Raw genomic sequence first — 27,699 nt, forward strand, 5'->3', positions numbered from 1 at the left:
ATCATAGTGGATTTTAGGAAATGGTTTTAATCACTGCCAAAAGAAACTCTGGAGATTATAGGGAAGAAGGATTTCATGTTAAATGTCAACTCATTGAAATCCTGCAATTTAAATGAGTCATTTCTACACCTTGCACTGAGAATGTCTTTCTCCCTTTCATTTAGGATTACCTAACTAGTCTATTTTTACTCAAAATTCTTATTAAGTTTTTTCTGAGAAATCTCCAAACTGCTTTCCACAGTAGCTGAACTAATCCAAACTGCTTTCCACAGTAGCTGAACTAATTTGCATTCCCACCAATAGCATACACGTGTTTCCTTTTTTCCATAGCCTTGCCAGCATCTATTATTTTTAAACTTAATAATAACCATTCTGAGTGGTGTGAGATGGTATCTCATTGCAGTTCTTTTTTTTTTTTGAGATGGAGTCTTTCTCTGTTGCCCAGGCTGGGTGCAGTGGTGTGATCTCGGCTCACCACAAACTCCGTCTCCCAGGTTCAAGTGATTCTCCTGCCTCAGCCTCCCGAGTAACTGGGACTACAGGCACACACCACCATGCCCGGCTAATTTTTGTATTTTTAGTAGAGACGGGGTTTCACTATGTTGGCCAAGCTGGTCTCAAACTTCTAACCTCATGACCCGCCCCCGTTGGCTCATTGTAGTTTTAATCCAGCAATCCAACTACTGAGTATATACTCGGAGGGAAATAATTCATTCTATCAAAAAGACTCATATACATTCATCACAGAGCTATTCACAATAGCAAACACATGGAATCAATGTAGGTGCCCGTCAGTGTTGGATTGGATCAAGAAAATGTGGGGCATATACACCCTGGAATACCACACAGCCATAAACATCAATGAAATCTTGTCCTTTGCAGCAATATGGATGCGGGTAGAGGCCATTAAATTAAGTGAATTAATGCAAAACCAGAAAAGCAAATACTGTATGTTCTCACTTACAAGTAGGGGCTAAGTATTAAAAACACATAGACATAAAGATGGGAACAGTAGACACTGGGAATTACTAGAGGGGGGAGGAGAGAGGGAGGAATGGACTGAAAAACTACCTATTGAGTACTATGCTCACCATCTGGGTGAGGTGACAGAACCATTCGTATCCCAAACCTCATCATCATGTAATATAAACACAACCTTGCACATGTACCCCTGAATCCGAAACAAAAAAAATTACAATGTGTAAGATGAAAAGAATTCTCTTTTTTTTTTTTTTTGACCTGGAGTCTGATTCTGTCACCCAGGCTGGAGGACAGTGACGCCATCTTGGCTCACTGCAACCTTCACCTCCTGGGTTCAAGCGAATCCTCCTGAGTAGCTGGGACTATAGGTGCCCGCCACCATGCCCGGCTAATTTTTGTATTTTTAGTAGAGACGGGGTTTCACCATGTTGGCCAGGCTGGTCTGCAACTCCTGACCTCAGGTGATCTGCCTGTCTTGGCCTCCCAAAGTGCTGGGATTACGGGAGTGAGCCACCACACATGGGCAAATTCTTACAGATTTTTTTTTTAATCCAAAAGAAAGAAATTAATTTCTAAGATTAAGTAAATTTGAGAAGGTTGGTACACGTTCATCAGCTGATTAAAATTTAACCATAACATGTTCACTTAAGAGTCTCTAAAATGAGATACTGGATTTACCCGGGAATTAGTTTGCCCCACTATTAGTCTTATTTGTACTTCTCTCTGGCCTGACCTTGGTTGTCTTTGCATTGGTGGAGCCTGGGTTGAGTGATTACAGAGGGTGTGAAGAAGGGGCTACTTTCTCAGCACTCCACGTCACTACAACCTTTCAGATGCACACGTCCCTTTTGACCTAAGTAGCTTTCCTCAGGACAAGGGGTCAGAAGAGTGACAGACTTTTAACCCGAATATACCCAGGAGGTCTACATAGTGTCCTTTTCATTACAGTATTCAGGCCAGTATATTTTCTGCTTGTTTGTTCATTGTTCGTTTATTTTAAACAGAGTGTTTTCCTGCAGGTAGTAAGGAAAATATATTTTCCAACTTCATTAAAATCAATACTTACTGGTTCACCACTTAGTTGCAATGTCTTAACTCTTACAACTTAGCGGTGAGTTCTTAATGGATTTAGGCATGACGTCACTAACCAAGTTCTAGTGTCTAGACTATTTACAGTGTAGTTTCTATTTATTAGCTTTCTTTCCTGGACTACATAATTGAGTCACCAAATGATTTTTATACATGGCATCACGTTAGGTATGATAACCCCATATTTGTGATGAGGTGGGGAAATCTTGTTAATACCTTTCATCAGAATTCCTTTTATAAAAAGCTAGTGTATTTGCTCAGGGAAAAATACAAAGAAAATAACTACAGTCCCTTGACAAGTGATTGAGAGTGGAAGATGAGATCTTCAGGGACCTGGAAGTGGGTGGAAATGTTCTAAGTGAGATGTTAAAGTAATATACCTGTCAATCTAGAAAAAGGAGTGAGGAAGAGGGTTGTGGAGCTAGGTAGATGGTAGAGAGCTGTATGGAATTTAAAATAACTCCACCCATCGTCTGCTGTATGTTGAGTGAAGTTACCAAACTGAGAAATGCATGTCATTAGTAGATGTGAGTGTTTAAGAGTGATGTGTGTTTGAAGGTGTGTATATGAACCAGTGACGGGGCTGGGTACATATCTGTACTCGTGGAGGGCAAAAGTCCACACAGACAGGAAAACACACAGTCAGAAGAAAGCCTGAGGACCTGTCTCAGCAGCTCCCAGAGACTGTGAGGAGGGCTCTGTATAGTCACAGCCTGAAATTGTGTTTCAGGTCAGGTTTAACCAGATCTCCAAGGATCAGAAGGATTCAAGATAATGTATGTGTCCCTTGGGGCAGATAAATATATGAAAAATGGTTTCTAGGAAAGAACAGGATGGGGAGTCAACTGTTGGTTCTGGCTTTTCTCCTGATTAAGGAGAAGGAACTCCATTTAAACTATAAAATGAGGGTGGGAGGAGAGAGGATCAGAAAAAATTACTAGTGGGTACTAGGCTTACTACCTGGGTGACAAAATAATCTGCAACAAACCTTTGTGACATGAGTTATTGATAGAAAAAACTGGCACATGTACTCCTGAACATAAAAGTTTAAAAAAAAAAAACAACTATAAAACGAGAAGCGTTTTGGGACTAGATTAAGCCAAAATATTCTTCCCCTACTCTGGAACCAGGAAGATATTCTCTGTATTATCTCCTATTAGCAATATAATTTTCTCTTTTATATGTCGATATTTATTCCATCTGAATTTTCCTTTTGGATGTGGTGTGAGAAAGGGACTCAAATTTATTTTTTTCTTATAATGAACTGCTTTTGTTAATATCATTTAAAACTACTCCATCTTTTCCCTTATGGGTTGTGATGCCAACTCTATGCTTTCTGTCTGACCACATATTAGTTGAAATTTTATTCCCTATGAATCTTCTCATGATTTCTTTGTAGATTTATAGCTATTATTTCTTTCTCCTTTAAAAAATTAGTAGGAGGGAAGTCTCAGGATATTTAAATGGTGATGCATGTGACTAATATACGATCATTGAACTTTTCCAATGACATTGCAATTCTCTAAATATTAAATCCTCTAAATGTTAAAATTAAACTCAGACCTATAATGCCTGAGTAGGGGGCACCCACGTAACTGAGTCAGTTATATGTGTGTATTAATGCATCACTTTAAGAAACATTTATTGAGTGCCTGTGATATGCCAGGCACTGGCTGTCTAAGAATATGGAAATGAATAGGACTGATGGTTGTCATTTGCATCGCTATTGGTTTATTGTCTATCAAACAGCTTTGCCATGTAAGGCTCTATGCTAAGCAATCATTTTCATTAGATATTAGCTGGGTCTGGAACAAAAGAAATAAAATGAAATAATGTACCTAGAGATGTCAGATATTATGGGATCACCAGAGTTTTTCAATTGAAGGATTACATTAACTTGTGACAACCTACAACTTGTAAGATATGAATTTTGCTATCTGCTAAGTAAGCTAACCACTAAGCTGTCATACTCTAAAGAGAAAATCAGCACTCATACCTATAAAGTATATGAGAATTTATTGTTGAGGAAATATTTTATTTCTTATGTTTTGCTAAAACATATGAAATAATTTTAATTTTTAATTACTAATTTTTAATAAGACAACAAATGTCTCATTTATAGGTTAGTCCCTTTGGCTATCTACCCAAAGCAAAATCAAGAACTGTTGATTAAATAAAAAGCAATACTTCAGAACTAAAATAAATGTCACAGGCCATACACTAAAATTCATTGACTTCAGCCATAATAGACCTCGTGAATCCTTGCTTTGTTTGTATATATTTTTACTTCTGTAACACATTCTATAAATGTAGTCATCTAAATGTCCAGCTCACCACAGATTAGAAGCATAAAATAGAAGTGTAAAGTTATAAAAACAGCATCAGTAACTAGAGGAAGATAACCAATAATAGGAGAGAGTTATACCGGACAGCATGAAAGGTGACTGGGAATGCAGAATTCAAAACACAAAAGAGCATGGTAAAGTATAATCATGCATTTAACATTATAGCTAATGATCCCTGGCCCCTTTTCTATAATAATGGTTGTTGATGATAGTGCCCTTCATGCTTAAAAAATGTAAATTTAGGATAAGTATCTCTGGTTAAAAAGACAGATATGGCCTGGCGCAGTGGCTCATGCCTATAATCCCAGCACTTTGGGAGGCTGAGGCGGGCAGATCACGAGGTCAGGAGATGGAGAACATCCTGGCTAACACGGTGAAACCCTGTCTCTACTAAAAATACAAAAAAAAAAAAAAAAAAAATAGCAGGGCATGATGGCAGGCACCTGTAGTCCAAGCTACTAGGGAGGCTGAGGAAGGAGAATGGCGTGAACCCGGGAGGCGGAGCTTGCAGTGAGCCGAGATGGCGCCACTGCACTCCAGCCTGGGAGACAGATCAAGACTCCATCTCAAAAACAACAACAACAACAACAAGAACGACAGATACATTTGTTTTGTGTTTTGGAATGATTTATTCCAAAAAAATTTAGTTTTGAAGGGAAGAGTTTTGTATACATTATATGATACATATACCATATGTATAACATAAGTAATAGATTTATATATAATGCATATAACATATATGTTATATATAATATATATTTTTACATATATTCAGGTTCATCTCATTGAACCTGCCATCGTCAGGCATTGTGATGGATTTTCAAAAAGGTTATTTCATTAATTTTGATATGTACAGGGTAGAGTATATGTTATTGTTTATACGCTTACAGATAAAACTGTTTCAGTAATTCACTTCAAATCACACCACCAGATAGTGACTGAACTGCAATTGGAATCAGTTCCAATTACCAATTAATTAATTTTATTGGTAATTACCAATTACCGATAAAAATGGCCATTTTTATTGTAAGCGATGCAGTCTAGAACATTGGCTAGGACTGCTTTCAAGTCAGAGGACCTTGATTTTGAATCTCAAGTTTGGCATTACCTATTTGGCCATAAGAAATGACTTAGACTTGTGCACATGTACCCTAAAACTTAAAGTATAATAATAAAAAAAAAAAAGAAAGAAAGAAATGACTTAGACTTTCTGTGACAGAGCTTCCTCACCTGTAAAATAGGAATGGTAATACCCAATTTAAATAGTCATGAAGATTTGATGAGATAAAGTATGTAAGTAAACACTTTGCATAATGATTAGCACTTTGTAATCACTCGACAAAGGAAAATATTCCATGACTCTTAATTGGAGAAACTTCTATCATTAGAGAATGCAAGATTTAAAGATAGCTTAGTCTCTCAGAATTCAGAATAAATTAAGTCATATTTCGATTATAATTAATCTACAGCAAGTAGTAAATACTCATCTTGTTGTAATAGTTGGCCATTGAATAAACTTAAGACGTTTTTCTGAGTCATCTGTTTTCTCAATCTTTAACAGTGTAATCCTTTTATCTCTAAACTCAGGAAACCATTCTTCAAAGTCTTACTATTTATTGTCAGAGAAAGCATATGTTTGTTAAGAGATCAGTATAAAGCTATCCCAGCTAATTGAGAGGAAAAAAATCAAGTCATATATCATAAGTGGCATTATGTAAATAACATCTTATAGGCTAATTAGAAATAATTAGTTTTTAAATATTGGAGTTCACATTAAATTTATATTTTTTTTGTTAAATAATAGATGCCTACAAGTCAAACTGACTTTCTAACAATTAATATAAAAATAGATTTCCAATATTCTTCCTTTATTGTTCCATGCTGTTTTCCATTCTCTAGAAAGAACCTAGAGTGATCTCTTAAAGTACATGATAGTTCATTTGTCTTTCTATTTAAAACCCTCTGATGGCTTCCCATTACATGTAAAATAAGGCCTCATCTTCTTAAGGGCCCACAAGGTACTATATGATCTGGTTCTTGTCTCTGAATTCTTCTTCCTTCCATCCTCTTCCTTGCTTACTCTGTAGCTAACAAAGCATGTTCTTAACAATCCTTGAACATGTCCAGCTCATTTAAAACTCCACATCTTTTACCATGAGTGATATGATTTGGCTGTGTCCTCACCCAAATCTCATCTTGAATTGCAGTTCCCATAAGCTGCACGTTTCTGGAAGGACCCGGTGGGAGGTGATTGAATCATGGGGGCTGTTACCCTCATGCTATTCTTGTGATAGTAGGTGAGTTCTCGTGAAATCTGATAGTTTTACAAAGGACTTTTCTCCCCTTCACTCTGTACTTCTCCTTGCTGCTGCCATGTGAAGAAGGGTGTTTACTTCCCCTTCCACCATGAGTGTAAGTTTCCTGAGGCTTCCCAAGCATGCTGAACTGTGAGTCAATTAAACCTCTTTCCTTTATAAATTACTCAGTCTTGGGTATCTATTAGTAGCATGAGAATGGACTAATACAATGAGTGCTTTTCCTTACATTGCCAGCTTCTCATTCAGCTCATTATTTCCTTTTCTACTCAAATGTCTCATGATCCTTCAGGGGACTTGCCTGACACCTTCTCTTTCACCATTCTGTGTGTGTAAAAATACATACAAGGGGCCGGGAACAGTGGCTCACACCTGTAATCCCAGCACGTTGGGAGGCTTGGGTGGGTGGATCACGTGGTGAGGACTTTGAGACCAGCCTGGCCAACATAGTGAAACCCCATCTCTACTAAAAATACCAAAAATTACCTGGGTGTGGTGGTGGGTACCTGTAATCCCAGCTACTTGGGAGGCTGAGGCAGGAGAATCACTTGAACTCGGGAGGCAGAGGTTGCAGTGAGCCGAGATCATGCCACTGCACTCCAGGCCAGGTGACAGTACAAGACTCTGTCTAAAAAAAAAAAAAAAAAATACACACAAGGATATTTCAACGAGTGTTGAGTATGATAAACTTAGCAGCTTTTATCTCCCATTTCTGCCCAAAATTATTTTCTGTAGTACTTCCCTTCACCATCTGTTGATGGCATCTTAGGTATAACCTATAACTTTTGGTCAATTCCAGGTGTCAGTTCTATAATTACCATCCTTGACTTCATTTTATCTGTTCTGTTCTTTTGGCATTCCTATTGAGCTACAGAATACATTGTTATAGATATATAGAATACATAGCCACAGATACATAGACTTTCAGTATCTACTATTCATAGTATTTTTAAACCATCAGTCCTTGCTTCATCTAGAACCATTATTTTATTCATCCTATCCATAAATTTTTTCCAACATACATCTATATTTATATCTATACCTAATCTATGCATTTGTTTAAATTCAACATGGTGTGTGTGTGTGTGTGTGTGTGTCTGTGTGTGTGTGTGAATATATCTTCATTATCCCTAATGGATCCTTTTTTATGGCAATTTGCTTTTGTTTCATAAATTCAACATTAGCTTAATTAATTTCACTTGTTTTAAAGTCTTCTTCTGAGTGCTTTAGTATTATTTCCTTGTGTGTGAGTACTTTGGTTTGTTATTTGTTTATGTGGTCTTCATGCTTCTCAGATAATTTGGAATCATTGACCTTGAGCTTATCTTTGCGTTCACAATTCCTTAACAACTGCTTACTGCTGTTTACTGCAGAGTTCACCAAAGTGAGTGAGAAAAAAATTACTTCTAGAGCTCTTGTTCCTCACTTTTTCAGTAAGATGAGAAATTGTTGGAACAATAGCTTTACATCTGGTCTTCTTTATCTTCTCTCAGCTTTGCCTGGTTTAGACCTTTCACTGGGTGGTCCTTGTCAGTTACCTCTCTCTCACCCCAGCTTCCACCACCTCAAGATATAGAGATTTTTGAGATAATCCCACTTTATTTGGCATTGTTTTCCACAGGCTTGATCACCTGCCATTTTTCTCTTTGAATCTCATCTTCTTCAACATTACATTATGAGTATAGGGTTAAGAAGCTATATAGTGGCCAGGTGCGGTGGCTCACGCCTGTAATCCCAGCACTTTGGGAGGCCGAGGCGGGCAGATCACGAGGTCAGGAGATCAAGACCATCCTGGTTAACACGGTGAAACCCTGTCTCTACTAAAAATACAAAAAATTAGCCGGGCGTGGTGGCGGGCGCCTGTAGTCCCAGCTACTCGGGAGGCTGAGGCAGGAGAATGGCGTGAACCCGGGAGGCGGAGCTTGCAGTGAGCCGAGATTGCGCCACTGCACTCCAGCCTGGGCGACAGAGCGAGACTCCGTCTCAAAAAAAAAAAAAAAAAAAAAACAGAAGCAATATAGTGTAAAGAATCCAAGTTTATTTTGGGATAGATAAGGAATATAAAATACTTAATAATTAGAGAATATAGCCAGAGCTATAAAGATATCTGAGCTAAAAATAACATTTCTTTGTTTCTTTCTTTAGACTGAGAAAACGTGGTCCTTTTGTCGGTAAAAGAGTTTGGTATAACAACATCAATGCATGCGGGAATTGTTCCTTTCTGCCTAAAGTACAGTTTTGGGTAAGTTATTCAGTGTTTACTGGATGTCTACTCTGGTTAGAATATTGTCATAGTAGAAGAAAAAAAATCTCTTATTAGAAATCAACTTAGAGCCTAAGAACATTGGATCTTTAAACAATTGGTTTAAGCAAGTTCTTTAGGAGAAAAACAGTGTCTTTCATCTACAAATGTTAATTTCAATTCCACCTTTATATGATCTGAGGGAACAGATAATGGCAACATTAAAAGAGAATGTTCTTTAGGTTTTACTTAAGCAAATGCTGATAGAAAAGATTTAAGTAAATAGGAAATGACTTGACCATTAGCATGATTGTATTTTAAATAGCCGTTAGTTTTAGAGAGCACTCACCAATAAATAGCAAAACGTACCCCTGTAATTTATAAATTCTCTGTCTTTCCTCTGGTGAAGTATAAAACTCACTTTTGTTCCCTTATTTCAGTGCTTTACAGAGTTAATAAAATAATGACCTTCCCCACCCTTCATTTTAAGATCATAACTAGTGTAGAAGTTTCCATTGAAATTGTTAGATTTTTCTTTTTTTTCAGTTCACTGGATATGATCTTTGGCCTGGTTTTGATGTTACTCATTTGTTTTTGGATCAACTTTTACCATGTGGCTGAGATTTTTTGTGTTGTTGTAATAATACTAAGTTACATCACTGCTCTTCTGAAAAGTAGAACTGAATGAAAATTAAACCTTAAAAAACACTATGTTTGAGCAATGTTAAACATCTGCCTTGAACTTACAAGGGCAGGGCAGGGCAGGGCACAGCTTTTTTTTTGTAACTTAAGTCCTGAGTTGATCTGGTTTTTAAATAACTATCAGCTCTAAAATACAAGTGTCCGGGCATGTAAATGCAATTAATTTTATTTTAGTTTATAGCTAGAATTTTTAAAAAGTTAAATCTCTTAAGAGAATTTTTAACTTCTTAGAGGAACATATTAGGGCTTAGCATGATGTTTAATTGTCCTGTTTAAATATTCTGTCTTTAGTCAGCCTTTGGGCAAATTACATGTTATCATTTTCCCAGACAATACTTAACTCAATCATTTGCACTCTTATTTAAAAATGTGAATGAATTACTGACATATCATTGACACCTTGCTTTTATATGGGAAATTTGACTGAAAATGTAGGTGTTGCCATGAAACGGGCATTATTGTGGCAAAAATGAAGTTTTCCCATAAACTTAAGACCCTCTTCACCTTATTTTCTCCACCTCCCAAGGAGTGAAAAGTTGTTAGTTTTGCTATCACTATATAAATTTTAATCAGGGCCTGTTTGTTAGTATTAAATGGAATTCACATCAAATATAAACTGGTCTTTTGGTTTAATAGTTAAGAGTTTATTTTTACTATTTAGTTTAATAGTTAATTTTTTTCTTTACATTGAAACAAAACATCATTTCCAAGTTGAAAGTATATAGAAAGAGACATGTGGTTTACCTAAAACAAAAACTCTTTTTTTTTTTTTTTTTTTTTGAGACAGGGTCTCACTCTGCCACTCAGGCTGGAGTGCAGTGGTGCAATCACAACTCACTGCAGCCTCAACTTCCCAGGCTCAAGGGATGCTCCCATCTCAGCCTCCCAGGTAGCTGGGACTACTGGAACACACTACCATGCCCAGCTACTTTTCAATTTTTTTGTAGAGACAGGTTCTCCCTATGTTACCCAGGCTTACTTTTTTAAGAATCTTTTATTGAATGTCTACTATGTAAAATATAATATGGAACTAATGGGGGAAAGTTAAAAAAAAATACTGTGTATTAGAGAATCTTGAAATCAAGGGAAATTTTAAATTGACAATACTGATTACTTTTTGGCAAAAATGTCAAAGTTTTATGGTCTTACAAAAAGATATGATTGACTAGGAGGCCAAAGTAGTCAGTGGAAATAGCAATGAGTTTTGAAACCAACAACAAAAGAAAATGACCAGTGAAAGTAACCAAGCCAAAAAAAATTGAAGTTAAAGTAGTTTTCTCATGGTGCACACCCATGAAATAGCTTTGTCATGATTTTATATTGGCAAGTGTTTCATCAAGATCATAATGAGGTAAGAGGATAGACACTGCTTGAGAACTGCACTGATATTATCAGCCATTTTCCCTTTTAAATAGTCTAGTTTTGGAAAGTAATATTAGAAAACTTATAAATCCTCAGTTTAATATTTTAGTAAATATTTGTCAATTACAGAATTTTAGAAAATGACTTGAAAGGATTTATTTTTGTTTACAAATTACTCCTTTTCAAATAACAAAATTGAGACAGTGAAATGCTTTGCATTATATTTCCATGACAGCTCCATGAGATAGATAGGCAAGTTTATCATCCATATTTTACAGTTGGAAAAACTGAAACAGGTAAGTTAAGCAACATGACCAAGATGGCACAACTCGGGAGGGTGAAGTAGGGAAAAGAACAGCACAACCTCTCTGAGACAATCCTCTGTACCATGTCTATACTGCGTACCAGTGCCTGAGTTCATCGCAGGAGGAAGACGTGGGCAAGTAGGGCAGTTGATCTGTTGGGGGAAGGAGGAAGAAAGGGATTGTTTGTTTGATCTAGGGGCAAACTAATGTAAATTGGCATAAGATCATGGAGGGAGTGGAATGCTTATGGTAAAAATTTTGAATCTAATTTTGTAGGCAAGGAAAAGGCAGGCTTAGGCTATCTCTGAGCCGACAGAATAGCTTTATTCTAGGTTTGGAACTAGGTGTCTGGTAGTTGAGAATAAATTAATATTGGTCAATAGAGGCTTTATCCAGAAATAAGCAATTATTTCTTTATTGAATAATTCTACAAACAGTCGTCAGATTTACTTTGTAAAATCATATGTCCTTGAAGGCTATACATGAATTGATTTTTATTTGAAATTGTTAAAGAGAATATGCCTACTTGAAAAAGCTTATCAGCTGCCATTTTTTGTTCCAAAATAACAAATTAAAAATTTACATTGAAGTTTTGTCTTGTTTGCAAACCTCTCAGCTAGGGTTCTACGCAAAATAAATAGAAAGGAACAAGTTACTGAAGCCTTCACTAAACAGTAATTGAAAAATATTTATGGCATTTGAAAGATGTTTTAAAATGTATTTTGTAGCTCAAAGTGCCATAAATTAGAAATATGAAAATAAAGAAAATAGAATGGTATGTAGAAAGTAAAGAGCATAAGCTTTTATTTTTAATTTATTTTATTTTAATTTATTTTATTTTATTTTTTTGAGATGGAGTCTCACTCTGTCACATAGGCTGGAGTACAGTGGCGTGATCTCGGCTCATTGCAACCTCCGCCTCAGCCTCCCAAGTAGCTGGGACTACAGGTGCGTGCCACCATGCGTGGCTAATTTTTTTTTTTTTTTGTAGTTTTAGTAAAGACAGACAGGGTTTCACTGTATTAGCCAGGATGGTCTCTATCTCCTGACCTCGTGATCCTCCTGCCTCGACCTCCGAAAGTGCTGGGATTATAGGCATGAGCCACCGCACCCGGCCAGCTTTTATTTTCTGTATTTACGTTTCTCTTTAAACAATAAATTCATTACCCTTTGTTACTTGGAAGGCTATATATTTTATATTTCCAGTGAAATAAATAATTACATTTAATATCAAATAACAATTTTTCTCCAAAAAGATTTAAATCTAGCTTACCACCTAAATTTAATATAAAGGAACTTATAAACACAGTTTGATCAAATCATAGCTAGAAAACTAGGGAAATAATGGAGGAATTCTAAAATCTCTAGTGTTAATATGCTTGTATTCATGATTTCAAGTACTTATATGAATGTTTGAATGAGAAAACTTATGCAATTGCCCCAATTCCACGTACTAATGTCAAGTTATTTTTAATATTTTGCTTACATTTGTTTAAATTGTTAAATATTTGAAAATGAAAATATTTTATTATATTATAAAGATAGTATGCAATTATGAACAATATTCAAGTAATGTGAAAAAGTATAACATATAAGATTAATTAATGAAATCTTCATACTCATAGATAAGCACTCAGTTTTTTGATGAACAATTTCCGACATCTTTTTCTGCATAAAGAGAAATAAGCATATAAACATGTTATATAAATAATATCACTCTATTTTTTAAACTACATTTTCATTCAACATTGTTATAAATATCAATTAAAGTATTTTCATATAAAATGTTTTGCCTTCACAATATATTATTTCAATAATCTTATATTGATAGATATCATTGCATTTTCATAATTTTGATAATATAAACAATGATGCAATTAATATATTTAACTTACCTTTGTTGTGCCAGTTCAATTATCTGTTAAGAAAAATACCCAAAATGAAATTGCTGGATCAAATAATATATACATTTTTAATTTGAATCACAATATATTTAACATTTATAAATGTTCAAAAAACTCACATAAAAAGTAACAAGTTTTTTGTTTGTTTTTTTGTTTTATTATTATACTTTAAGTTTTAGGGTACATGTGCACAACGTGCAGGTTTGTTACATATGTATACATGTGCCATGTTGGTGTGCTGCACCCATTAACTCGTCATTTAGCATTAGGTATATCTCCTAATGCTATCCCTCCCCTCTCCACCCACCCCACAACAGTCCCCGGTGTGTGATGTTCCCCTTCCTGTGTCCATGTGTTCTCATTGTTCAATTCCCACCTATGAGCGAGAACATATGGTGTTTGGTTTTTTGTCCTTGCGATAGTTTGCTGAGAATGATGGTTTCCAGCTTCATCCATGTCCCTACAAAGGACATGAATTCATCATTTTTTATGGCTGCATAGTATTCCATGGTGTATATGTGCCACATTTTCTTAATCCAGTCTATCATTATTGGACATTTGGGTTGGTTCCAAGTCTTTGCTATTGTGAATAGTGCCGCAATGAACATACGTGTGCATGTGTCTTTACAGCAGCATGATTTATAATCCTTTGAGTATATACCCAGTAATGGGATGGCTGGGTCAAATGGTATTTCTAGTTCTAGATCCCTGAGGAATCACCACACCGACTTCCACAATGGTTGAACTAGTTTACAGTCCCACCAATGGTGTAAAAGTGTTCCTATTTCTCCACATCCTCTCCAGCACCTGTTGTTTCCTGACTTTTTAATGATTGCCATTCTAACTGGTGTGAGATGGTATCTCATTGTGGTTTTGATTTGCATTTCTCTGATGGCCAGTGATGATGAGCATTTTTTCATGTGTCTTTTGGCTGCATAAATGTCTTCTTTTGAGAAGTGTCTGTTCATATCCTTTGCCCACTTTTTGATGGGGTTGTTTGATTTTTTCTTGTAAATTTGTTTGACTTCATTGTAGATTCTGGATATTAGCCCTTTGTCTGATAAGTAGGTTGCGAAAATTTTCTCCCATTCTGTAGATTGCCTGTTCACTCTAATGGTGGTTTCTTTTGCTGTGCAGAAGCTCTTTAGTTTAATTAGATCCCATTTGTCAATTTTGGCTTTTGTTGCTATGGCTTTTGGTGTTTTAGACATGAAGTCCTTGCCCATGCCTATGTCCTGAATGGTATTGCCTAGGTTTTCTTCTAGGGTTTTTATGATTTTAGGTCTAACATGTAAGTCTTTAATCCATCAAAAAGTAACAAGTTTTAAAAACTGTTCTTTTCCAGTTTTGCAATGTGAAATATAATTAAGTTAAATTATCCTAACAAGGACTTGGAAGTGGGGTCTTTGAAATTAATGAATAATTCTATATTTATTCCTAGAAATTAACTTTGGGCAAGTATACTTTATACATTCTCCTTATTATTTTTCTTATTGCTTATTTTTTCATTATAATTCAAGTAATAAAGACCTAGATAATTTTATAATTATGTATCTATGTGGTTTCATTTTTTAAATGACATTTAAAAATTAAGAAACTTCACAGAATGCTTAACATTTGACAAATATGTTTCAAAAATGAAAACAATCTTGAGTATTCTTCTAGGTCATTTTTCCACAGATACATTTCATAATACTGTACTAAAATCAAATTTAATTTGTTAGATTTCAGTGTTTTAGGGTCTTACTTTGCAGCTGCAAATGGTAACCTCTCAGCTGCTTTGACGAATTCATGGGAGTTGGCCTGCCAAATGGTCTGATAAATCACTGTTCAGTCTGGATAAAAGCAAGGACTAAAATGTTCATTTGTAAGGATCCTGCAAAACAACTGAAACCAACTTGATTCTTGATTCTTACCAATATCTCATTTGTCCACTTCTTTTCAATTAACTCCCTGCTCAGACATGTATACCCAATTACAATTTGGTAAAGGAAAGGAGCATTATTATCTGTAGCTTCACACATTGTATACTAAACAAGATTCACCATTCATTCAGTAGGTGAGTATCCTTGAAGGCTTTATTTTACCTTGCCTTAGTTTCCTCATTCACAGAAGGCAGATCAGAGCTACTTCCTAATAATAGTTAGCATTTACTTACTTACCAATTTACTGTTTGGATTTGAGGCTAAACATTTTACTATCATTAGTTATTGTCATAAACACGATCTCCAAATAGTACGCACTCTTTAAAGTTAATGAAGATGCCAGAGTGCTTTTGTTTATGTGGATCATACCTATATATAGTTACCATACTAGAAATTAGAACATTATCTATGTATTTATTTTTGAAAGTAATTGTAATAAACTTATTATATGTTAAGTTACATATTTTCATGAACAATAGTATTATTTTAAAAATAAAAATAATGGCACATTTCATATTTGCAATTCTCTTTCTTGAGTTTCATAGAACTGGAATCTCCAACTGTTGTTGTATTTAGTTTATCAATACATTATTTTTATTAACGTATGCTAAGAAAATCCAGCCTCACACAATTATGTGGATACAAAAGAAACCAATATTTTAATTGTACTTTCGGATAATTAATTGTACTTTCGGATAATTGTGAACATTCTTCTTTAATATTTGACAAAAACTAAATAAATGATAATTTCATAAAGATTAGTTGCAGAGCATAATCTGAAACGGTATCAGTGAACATTTGATACTCTGTTACCCTATAATATTGGTTTATTTTTCGCTTTCAATGTATCATTTATTCATGCAGATTTTGGAACATCATGCATTGGTCATTTGGACAATATTAGTTCACTGAATTAGGCAGATATTCTAAATGTTGATACATTTTGTTATATAATATTAAAAAAATCAGTAATATCACCACTAATCTTACCTGAAAAGTCTTTAAGTATTGGGAAGGGGTCAAGCTCACAATAACAGATACAAATATACCAAAGTTCTAATTTTTGTTTGAAAACTTAAATTTGAATACTGTCTGTCTGTTGTTTGCATTTAAGACTCACTTCATTTCTGAGAAAATATCTATCTGCCATATATCCTAGTTTAAGTAACCGTAGTCTATCCATCAGTCATCCTTTCAAGTAATACTAGTGTTCAAGGAAGAAAACAGATGGTTTGGCTCATAAATCAAACATAAATTTATATTCCTTTAGACAACAATGATATAAGAATATGCAAAGCACTTTATATGTGTACTTCTCATTTCTTCATTTAATTACCTAATTACTTTGACACAGAATATGAGCTGAATAATATATTTTACATATGCATATATTCAGATTTATAATCTTTGATATTTTTGCCTTATTACATACTAGTGATATAAAATATGTTAAGAGCAGAATCTTACACACTTACATTAATTCTAACTCTTTACCTTTGTGGCAGTGGGAATTTACATTTCGTAAACTTCTTGAGTCTCAGTTTTGTCAACTAGGATTATTAACTATATAGGTAGATAGACAGGAAGGTAGTTAAAGATAAGATGGCCTGCATCATACAGTTAGTGTGAGGATTAAATGAATGTATACAACACTCTCAGCACAGAAAGCATTCAATATATGGTATTAAAATAACAAGATCAAGACTTACTTGCCCAGAGGCTGAACCCGTGTCTCCTTGTTCCATGTTCAAGGTTCTTTTCCATATGCTCGGACATCTTCTATAACAGTTTTCTATGCCAACAAAAACATACAAAGATGATTCGTTATTTCAGGTTACTTAATGATCTTCTGTCTACCAATGTGAGTTTTCCCTCTTCTAAATTGAGTTTGGTTTTGAGTGTAAAATTAGACCTTCCTTCATCATTTGGATCATCATATCACATTTCGCATAGGAGAGAAATGTACTTTCAAATGCCTTTTAAAGCATAATTGAAACTTGTTTTGAGTCCATCAGGCATGACACTTGTCTGTTAAGGTTTTTGCAAATAGCTCATTCAAGTTATCTACAACATAATCTCTCAGGTCAGATTCCTTTTTTTTTTTTTTTTTTTGTCTTTTTTCCCATCAGATACTCCTGTAGTTATTCTTATTGCCTTGAAGTAGTTATATCCCTTTAAACTCTCTGATATCCAAAGTTACTTCAAATTGTGTACAGTTAGACATATATAGACGTTTTAGATTGAGTTTTTCCATAGGATCTCGTTAGGGTAGATGCTTTAATTTTTCATTAGTCATAGTATAGAGAAATGTATTTTAATGGCTCCTGGTATTTAGCATAATGAAATTAAAGTAATAATGACAATAACAACTGCAACAGTATCCGTGGCAGCAACAACAACAACAACAAAAATCTGGCCCTAAATTTGCCTTTTTAATTTTTTTCTGTGACTTCTGTCCTCACTTAGAACATGTACTTAAGATTAGAATGTTGCATAGAAGAAGCCATGATCACATATGCTGAATTATATTCATTTCCAGTGGATTAATATGTTGAAGATAGGTAATTGTAACAACTATTAGTTTTGTCCTTTATCATTACAAGTTAGCCATCAAAACTTTTTCTTAAAATGATTAAGATTTTAATTTGCCATTTATAGCCAAGGGGAGTAGAGTGAGGAGGAAAAGCATTTTCCTCAGCACCTCATCTGTTGAATCAGTGTGACACTGAACATTGTCTACAATGCATCTCCAAAAATCCAAGCCAAAACAAACCTAAGTTTTCTTTTTCTTCTTCACTGTGTGGCCATTGAAAAAAGAAAAGGATATGATTGCCTTTGTTCTCCCCATTTTGTCTTCTTATGGAGGAAAATTCTGAGTCTATTTCATGAGCTCATTTTTATGTATTTAAAGGAATAATAAGATTAAGTATAGACAAAGGTATATGAGTCAACCAGTTAATGTGGGCTTGAAATGGGATGGATTTTACAACAGATAAAATTTTAAAGAAAGACAAAAACATCTTGCGCTATTGAGTCAGTGGGCACTTTCCAACATTTCACACTGATCTTTAGTATTTAATTTCTGTGTCATCAATTTTCTTTCACCACAGCCCTTCCCTTTTCTGTTTGCAGTGTCTGTCCTTTTTTTTTTTTTTTTTTTTTTTTTGTCTATGCAGACATTTGTTCTGTCTGTTTTAATATAATTGTGGCTGGAGAGAAATGAAAAATAGTTTGAGTAAGGGTTTCTTTTATATAACAAAAATTGTTATTGAATTTCTATGCATATGCTTTAACAATAAATCTTAACAACAAAAGAGAAGAAAATGTGTTTTCTTTTCTGTGAACCCTTTCTTTACAAAGAAAGATATTTCTAAAATTTCCAGAATAGTTAAAATGTTACATGATAATAATGGGAACATTTGTTATTTGACTATTCTCATATTAGATTGTTCTTTTGATCTAAAAATGGTTATTGTGGTGAAATTTACTATTATAGCTTATTAAAACTACATGCTTACTGTGACAAAAAATAAATAGCATGCATGATGTGATGTTTAGATAGGCATATTTTTAAAAGATGTCATTTACAATGTTATGTAGAATAAATAAATAATAAAGGGAATGGGATAAAATAAGAAAAATAAGTACAGAGGTTTGGGAGATAAATGAGATACAGGTTGTCCAGCTCCTCTTTTCTACTCTCCTTTACCAGACCACCCTCCTCTAACTAATTTTTTAAATTTTTATCTTAATATGAATGTCCCTTATTTACAGTCAAATATCTAAATAATGTAAAATACACCATATAAAATTAATCTCTGTCCCTCTGCAGACTTCCTCATGTATCCCACTCAGTCTTACATTAATCAAAGAATTGAAATGAAGCCTTCTGTGTCTCACTCCATACTTTCACCCAATTATCCATGCTCATGAATTATGAGCATGAATTATTAATAATAATTATGAATCATTAAGAAAATTTCCAAATTTCTATGTCAAGCTCACGTAATCTAATTTTATGCTATAATTGTCCATTTGGATAGCTAAAAGACACCACAAAACCGTAAGTCCATAATTGAACTCATGATCTTCACTCCCAAACCTAGACCCCTCCATGGCAGGATTCCCTCTCTCCATAAAACATATCACACAGGACTAACTGCCAGACATTATGTCTAATACGACTTTCTCTCCCTTACCCCTGTATCCAGTCAATTACCAGCTCTATCGACTTTATCTTCTAAATTTATCTCTAATTCTTATGCTACTCTCCATCTGTGGTGTCATTAGCATCATGTTCACTCAAGCTATTCTCATCTGATATTGGTTTCCCAAAATGTCTACCCACCTTTCTGTGATCTCTCTTTAATCCATGCTACACCTAACAGCTTGAGGGATCCTAAAATTTGAATCTGAGGATGTCATTTTTTTGCATACAAATTTTTATTGTTGTATTAGTCAAGGTTCTCTAAGGAAATAGAAACAATAGGATGGATCTATATTTAACCATCTATATCTACCTACCTACCTACCTAGAAAAAAGATATATATACAATAAATAATACATAAATCTATTAAATATATAAATTAAATACATTTATTTAACATATAAATACATATTATTTTTAAATATTTAATATTTTAATTAACTTAATAAAATTTAATTTTAATATTTAATATATAAAATATTTAATATATAAATATAAATTTATGTATATCTTATATAGAAAATATTTTAGTCAAATATCTAAATAATGTAAAATGTACCATATAAAATGAATCTCTGTCCCTTTGCAGACTTCCCCATGCATCCCACCCAGTCTTACATTAATCAAAAATTAAAATGAAGCCTTCATATATATACACACTATATATATACACAAGATATATATATACAAGATCTATCTATCTATCTATCTATCTATCTATATATATATATATATATACACACCACACAAGATCTATATATACATATATATACAAGATACATATATATATATATATATGTCTTGTAGTCTGCCATTAACCTGGAGAACCAGGAAAACTGGAAGTGTAATTCAGTCTGAGTCCAAAGGCCTGAGAATGAGGGGAGCCAATGTCCAGGGGCGGGAGAAGATGGATGTCCCAGTTCAATAAAGAGGGAGCAAATGTTCCCTCCCTCCACCTTTTTGTTCTGTTTGGGCACTTAGATTGGATGGTGCCCACCCACATTGGTTAAAGTGATCTTCTGTACCCAGTCTACTGATTCAAAGGGGAATCTTCTCTGAAATACCCTGAGAGTCACATCCAGGAATAATGTTTTACTGGCTATCTAGGTATCTCTTAGCCCAGTCAAATTAGTACATAAAATTAACCATCACAATTCCTCTTAGCATGAATACAAAAATGTTTCAAACAACTTAAAAAGATGCAAGATCTGGTGTATTTATAATTCTTCAACCTTGTTTGCACAACTCTCCACAAACTGAAATGTGTTTGTCTGTTTTGAGACAGGATCTCCCTCTGTCACTCAGGCTGGAGTGCAGGCTGGTGTGGCACGATCATGGCTCACAGTAGTTTCGCCTTCCAGACTCAAGTGATTCTTCCACCTCAGCTTCCTGAGTAGCTGGGACTACAGATGAGTGCCACCAAGCTCAGAGAATTTTTTAATTTTTTTGTAGAGATGAAGTCTCACTATATTGCCCAGACTGGTCTTGAATAAAATCTTTTAAAATCTCTTAAGAAATAGGTGAGTTTATGTTAAGTGCTTAGAATAGTGTAAAATACTTAGTATCATATAAATATTAGTTATTATTATTTAGTTTTTCTTGTAACTGTTTCTTTAACAATGAGCAGAGTACCTGGGACATAGTAGATGAATAACAAATTTTAATTTATACTACTAATAAAGGAGGATTGGTCTATGATTACAATAGTAAAAAAAAAAATTAAAGAAAGGATGGATAAAATTTTTACTTGAAAAAATCTGGAAAGACTTTGTGAATGAAATGTATGAATCACAAAGAAGGGTTTTAAGAGTTCTTGAATAGAAAGTTTGGCATTGGTCTTTGACTGAGATGATACATTCACCTGGCATGGTGGCTCACACCTGTAACCCCAGCACTTTGGGAGGCCAAGGTGGGCGGATCACCTGAGGTCAGGAGTTTGAGACCAGCCTGGCCAACAAGGCGAAACCCCGTCTCAACTAAAACTGCAAAAATTAGCCTGGTGTGGTGGCGCACACCTGTAGTCCCAGCAGGCAGGAGAATCACTTGAACCTGAAAAGAGGAGGTTGCAGTGAGCCAAGATGGCGCCACTGTGCTCCAGCATGGGTGACAGAGAAACTCTCCAAAGAAAAAAAGAAAAAGAAAAAAAAAAAGATGATACATTTAGAGGGTAACTTTGGTGTAGGGGAAAATAGCAGAGATGAGCTTGATTTGGAACTTGATGATTCTGAAATGATGATGAGGATTCCAAATGGAAATGCATGGCTGGCTTCTGAAGCTGTGGGATGTGAGGTGGTGAGAGAAAACTCAAGATTGGTGGTCGAGAGCATAGAGGTTGAATTGAAGTCATAGGAATTTGTGCTGAGGTAGAAATGCCTAAGTGACTGCAGAGACCCTTGCCTCCTTTGTTAAATGGTAATAGAATGGGAGCTGGGCACATGGAGGCGTAGCGAGACTCCATTTTCTAGCCTTTCTTCAGTTTACCATTCTACTGGCAAAACTTTTTCATGTGGCCTTTCCATGTCCTCTCTTCTATCCTGCTGACAGTTCTGGCTGTCAGTCCAGCCTAGGCCCTACATCAAAGCCCTGGGGATTGCAGAGCTACGAAATAAAACGAACATAGATTCATGGTTAAGGTACCACCTGAAAATCTTCCATGCTTCTCATGGACTTCTGCATAAGAAAGATAAATAAATCCTATCATTTTTTTAAGTTACTAAATGTGGAATCTGTTTGTTAGTAGATTTGTCTTTCCTATTAACCAATGGGAAGTATGTATTTTTAAAAATGTGTTTCCTGGCCCTAAGGTTTACTGGTGCTGTGACCTGAGATAAGTGACATAATGTCTTTGAATATATTTCCTGTAAATTGGAGCAGTGATAACTGTCAGGGTTGTTTAGAGATAACATGTGCATTACTGAAACCTGTGCCTGGCCTAGAATAGATGAGCTCTAAATTGTAGCAGTTATTATTATTGTTATCCTCCCATTTCTATATTTTCTCTTGCTTCTTGAAGGAAATGTAAACTATATACGTGGTGACATGTGCTAATGATAAACTTGCACACAAGTCTTTTTGATCATTACATGGCTTGCCATTTACATTTTGTCTTAGTCTGTTCAGGCTGCTGTAACAGAATGCCACAGACTAGGTGGCTTATAAACAACATAAATGTATTTCTGACAGTTCTGGAAGCAGGGAAGTCTAAGATCAAGATGCTGGCAGATTTGGTGTTTGGTGAGAATCCATTTTTTGGTTCATAGCTTTCTAGCTGTGTCCTCAAATGGCAGAAAGGGCAACAAAGGCAACTCTGGGGTTTCTTTTATGAGGGCACTAATCTCATTCATGAAGTCTCCGCCTCCTAATACTATCACATTGGGTATTAAGTATCAACACGTGAATTTTGGGGAGACACAAGCATTCTGCATATATATCACTTTTCAGTCAATGTTTGCCAAAGAAGCAGGATATTTAGGAGAAAAAAATATTTATGTAATATGGAAAGTTGGTTTTCCTCCTGAATTCAATATCGTCATTATCACATTTTACACTAGACATGAGCTTTTACTTAAAAACATTAATATATTACATGTTACATTTAGAATGTATTTTAGCTAATATATTAGAAAAAATACATACTATAAACAAGTAGCTTGCCTTTGCAAACTAATGAAGTTGAAATTCAGCATAGTCCATTTTCTTGTGGTTATGTTTTTATCACAATAACTTAATTTTCACATGTATAAATTGCATTGTGAATAATCATTTTTATGTAACTGCAATAAAAATGGGTAGCAGTAATTAATTGTTTATGACTTGAACTTAATGTATTTTATATTAAATTGTATTTGGGAAATTATTGAGGAAGTTTCTTAATTCATCCTTTAGTTAAATGAAGGGCATATTTTATTTTAATATATTTGAAGTATTCATATACATTTATTGAAATAGAGAGAAGACATTAATAAGATTTTTTTTTCCTCTTGGTACTAACCCCTGCTTTTTTTTTCCCCAGAAAAACAAAGATATATTTCCTCCTGACTAAAGTAGCACCATGTTAAAGGATGTAGCAATCATTACAGATATTTCTAAAGAATTCTCCTATGTGGATGGAAAATAATTTAGAAATTTTCAAGGTTAGCTTTACAATTGAATACAATCTCTCTATAATGAGTGGTCCTTTCTTTCTTGACCATTACCACTCAGACAGCTATGAATGAGGTAGTACCTTGGTTTTTGTTTAGCTTAAGTTTTGATTAAAATGCTTATGATTATGAAAAACAATTCCAAGATGAGTTTATACTTTCATGCCATTCCCAGTGGAATCTATTTACATATCTGACGAACACAGTACAAAGCTTCTACTCCAACCAGAGAATCACACTCATCCTCAAAAGATTGAAGAGTAGACCTCAACATGAAAAGCACGAAAAACATTAATAAACAATGTGCCGAACATGTGCCAGTGTTGGTAGAAATGAAGGCTGAATTTAATACAATTCCCCTGGAGTTATCAAAGATAGGAGCCAATGTATGTTAAGATTTTCTAAGTTTTAGTGATGTTTGTAAACTTCAGGCAATATTGAAAAGATAATGTATTTTAAAAGTGGCTATGGTGGCTGGGCTTGGTGGCTCATGCTTGTAATCCTAGCCCTTTGGGAGGCCGAGGTGAGCAGATCACGAGGTCAGGAGATCGAGACCATCCTGACCAACATGGTGAAACCCCGTCTCTACTAAAAATACAAAAATTAGCTGGCTGTGGCAGCCCGTGCCTGTAATCCCAGCTATTCGGGAGGCTGAGGCAGGAGAATCGCTTGAACCCAGGAGGCAGAGGTTGCGGTGAGCCGAGATCACGCCACTGCACTCCAGCCTGGTGACAGAGCTAGACGCCATCTTACAAAAAAAAAAAAAAAAAAAAAAACTGGCTATGGTGATAATAATCACAGTCATTTGAATCATTACTAAGTGTAAAGTGGTATTCGGAGAGTTTTAAATGCATTATCCCATTTAATACTCACAATAAAGCTTTGAGATCTGTAATGATATTGCCCATATTTCATAGATGAAAAAGCTAAGGCTGAGCAGTTACATGACTTACAAAATGTCCAGGCAGCTGACACTGCCAAGAATCCACACAGGTCTGTCTGATACCAACAACCATTCACTGCAATGCCTAACATGAATTCATGAACTGCCTGTTCTGTGTGTGTGTGTGTGTGTGTGTGTGTGTGTGTGTGTGTGTGTGTCTGTGTGTGTCTATGTGTCTGGTGTGTACATGCATCTGCACCCACTTTAAAGATACTACCCAGGGTATTGATTTACCGGGAGCATGATCTGGGCTGAGCCAGTATAATTTCTTTTTTGGTTTGTGCATACCCAGATTTGATGTTTTTGGAGATTGTGTCTGAGCATTTTTCTGAAGCCACAGTGCATTAAAAGATTAAACATCCATGAAGCCCAAAAGAAATCTGGAGCAAATTACAAACAAAACACCTACTACCAGCTTCTTCCAGGAGCTACCCACAAATTACCCACAAATGCACTCTCCCTCAACTTTCATGGAGTTTGTTCCATTTTTAATACATTAGAGAGAAATTAAGTTAGGAGTACAGGAAGAATAAGTTATGAACATCAAAAATAATCCTAGTGAGAATTTTAGCTTTGTAATGTTGATGTGTTAGGGATCTAGCTTCTTGTGCCTAAAAATAATTGATATTTTCATATTTTGTACTTTCCATCCTGGGGAGCAATAGACATAAATGTAACAAATACAATAATAACAGCTAATGTTTAGTAAGTGCTCTTAATTTTTTACATGGATGAATGCTTTTCATTCTGAAAGCAACCCTATGAGGTATATATTATTACTATTATCCCCTTTTTAAAGAAGGGACACATGAGGCCACACATGGCTAATTAATTTGCCTAAGCCGCCATAGCTCATAAGTAGCAGAACTGGCCTCTGAATGTAGACAAATTGGATCCATGAGTGTGGGAACTATGCTATGCTCATTATTTTGAGTGGCTTATTGGAGAGTTTACTAAAACGGTCGTATAGAAAGACTAATGAGTGAAAGAAAGAAACAGTTATCAATATCAGAACTAAAAAGAGTTTATCAATATCAGAACTAAAAAGAGTTTACCAGTATCAGGAATAAAAGGAACTCACAAATACTGAAAGAGCATTAAGAAAATATTATTAACCACTTTACTTCAATAGACTTGACAACTACATAAAAACAATAAATTCTTCAAAAACAAACGTACCATGAAAAACAATGGAAGAAATTATTTAAATGCCTCTATGTATTAATTAAATTGATTCTGTTGTTAAAACTTTTCCCATAAACTCCAGGTCTAGAGAGCTTCACTGGTAAATTCTTCCCAATACTCAGAGGAGGGAATTACACCAATTTTAGAGATTATCTCTGATAACAAATAATGACGACAACAAAGACAATGACATTTCTCAACTCTCTCTTTTTTTTTTTTTTTTGAGATAGAGTCTCTCTCTGTCATCAGGCTGGAGTGCAGTGGCGCAATCTCGGCTCACTGCAATCTCTGCCTCCTGGGTTCAAGTGATACTCCTGCCTCAGCCTCCCAAGTAGCTGGGACTACAGGCGCCCACCACCACACCCAGCTAATTTTTGTATTTTTAGTAGGGACGGGGTTTCACCATGTTGGTCAGGATGGTCTCGATCTCCTGACCTGGTGATCTGCCCCCCTCGGCCCCCCAAAGCACTGGGATTACAGGCGTGAGCCACCATGCCTGGCCACGTTTCTCAACTCTTGATGAGGACAGTATAACCTTGATATCAGCATAAAACAAGAACATTATAATATAGGGAAATTACAGATCAATTTCTCCAATGAACATAGATAAAAATATCTTAAGCACATTGCATCCAGCCACATTCAAAAATGGTAATATGTCAAGCAAGTATGTTTTAACATTTGAAAATTAGTTGTAATAATTCACTATGTTAACATAAAATTCACATGTTAACATAACAAGGGAGAAAATTCAACACACACTTACGATTAAAAAATCTTTACAAACTAGAAATAAAAGGGAAGTGATGAACAGTATCTACAGAAAACTTTGTAGCCAGCATTAACCTTATCATCCCTTATTGAAAACTTTCCACCTGAGATTGGAGAAGAAAGATTGACAATTTCTAATATCACTTTTCATCAACATTATACTAGAGAGAAACTATATAAAGATTGAAAATGAAGTAATAGTTTTAATTGATTGCAGACTATTATTGTGTACCTGGAAAATCTAATTTCAAAACTATATTAGAATTAATGAGTAAATTTAGTAAAGTATCAGAATGTAATAATAATATACAACATTTCCATTTCTATAAACCAACACTGTACAGAAAATGAAAGAGAATATTAAATACATAGATGCAAATTTTAAAATGATGCCAAAGATTTCTACAATCAATGCTATACCATCTTATTTAAATAAACTTAAGAAGACCTAAATATATCTAGAAATAGACCACATCCGTATATTTTATTGTAGATGCAAGACTCTGGAAAGTTGTCAATTATTACAAATCAATCTATAATTTTAATTCAATCCTAATCTAAACTTAATCAGCTGATTCTAAAATGTATATTAAATTGAAAAGATCAAATAATTGCCAAGAAACTCTGGAGAATTGATAACACCAATTATTAAGACCTGTTACAAATCTATAGTAAATAAGATTTGTGATATTGGGGAAAATGTCAGCAAATAGACCAATCACACAGAATACAGAGTTCAAAAACAGAAGAATTATATGCACTTATCTAATGTATGACAATTTTTTTTTTTTTTTTTTTTTTTGAGATGGAGTCTCACTCTGTCGCCCAGGCTGGAGTGCAGTGGTGCCATGTCGGCTCACTGCAAGCTCTGCCCCCCCAGGTTCACGCCATTCTCCTGCCTCAGCCTCCCGAGTAGCTGGGACTACAGGTGCCCGCCACCACGCCCGGCTAATTTTGTTTTGTATTTTTAGTAGAGACGGGGTTTCACCGTGTTAGCCAGGATGGTCTCGATCTCCTGACCTCATGATCTGCCCGCCTCAGCCTCCCAAAGTGCTGGGATTACAGGCGTGAGTCACCGCGCCCGGCCTTGAATATTTTAAAGAAAGATTTTTTTTTTTTAAAGAACATACGACATCTCATATGTGGCTCACAAAGCCTAGAATATTTACTAGTTGGTAAATACAGAAAATGTTTGCTTATCTCTGTCCTACAGTGTAAAGATCATTACTATTAAAATCAGAAAACTTTGGTTAGTATTCTAGACCTGTCACTGACTCGCC

General features: G+C 35.0%; 1 long non-coding RNA gene across 1 annotated transcript in view; it reads right to left on the minus strand.

Moving 5' to 3' along the window:
• Positions 1 to 11,408: 11,408 nt before the first annotated feature.
• LOC102724355 (uncharacterized) overlaps positions 11,409 to 27,699 on the minus strand; it is a 177,651-nt gene continuing 161,360 nt past the window's right edge. Inside the window, exons 3-6 of the long non-coding RNA XR_430359.4 lie at positions 16,880 to 16,962; positions 13,237 to 13,259; positions 12,961 to 13,009; positions 11,409 to 11,493 (exon numbers count right to left, since the gene is read on the minus strand). This is a non-coding gene — a long non-coding RNA (uncharacterized LOC102724355). The remainder of the gene's footprint in view (positions 11,494 to 12,960; positions 13,010 to 13,236; positions 13,260 to 16,879; positions 16,963 to 27,699) is intronic.

Source organism: Homo sapiens, chromosome 21 (assembly GCF_000001405.40).
Source record: "Homo sapiens chromosome 21, GRCh38.p14 Primary Assembly".
NCBI lineage: Eukaryota > Metazoa > Chordata > Mammalia > Primates > Hominidae > Homo > Homo sapiens.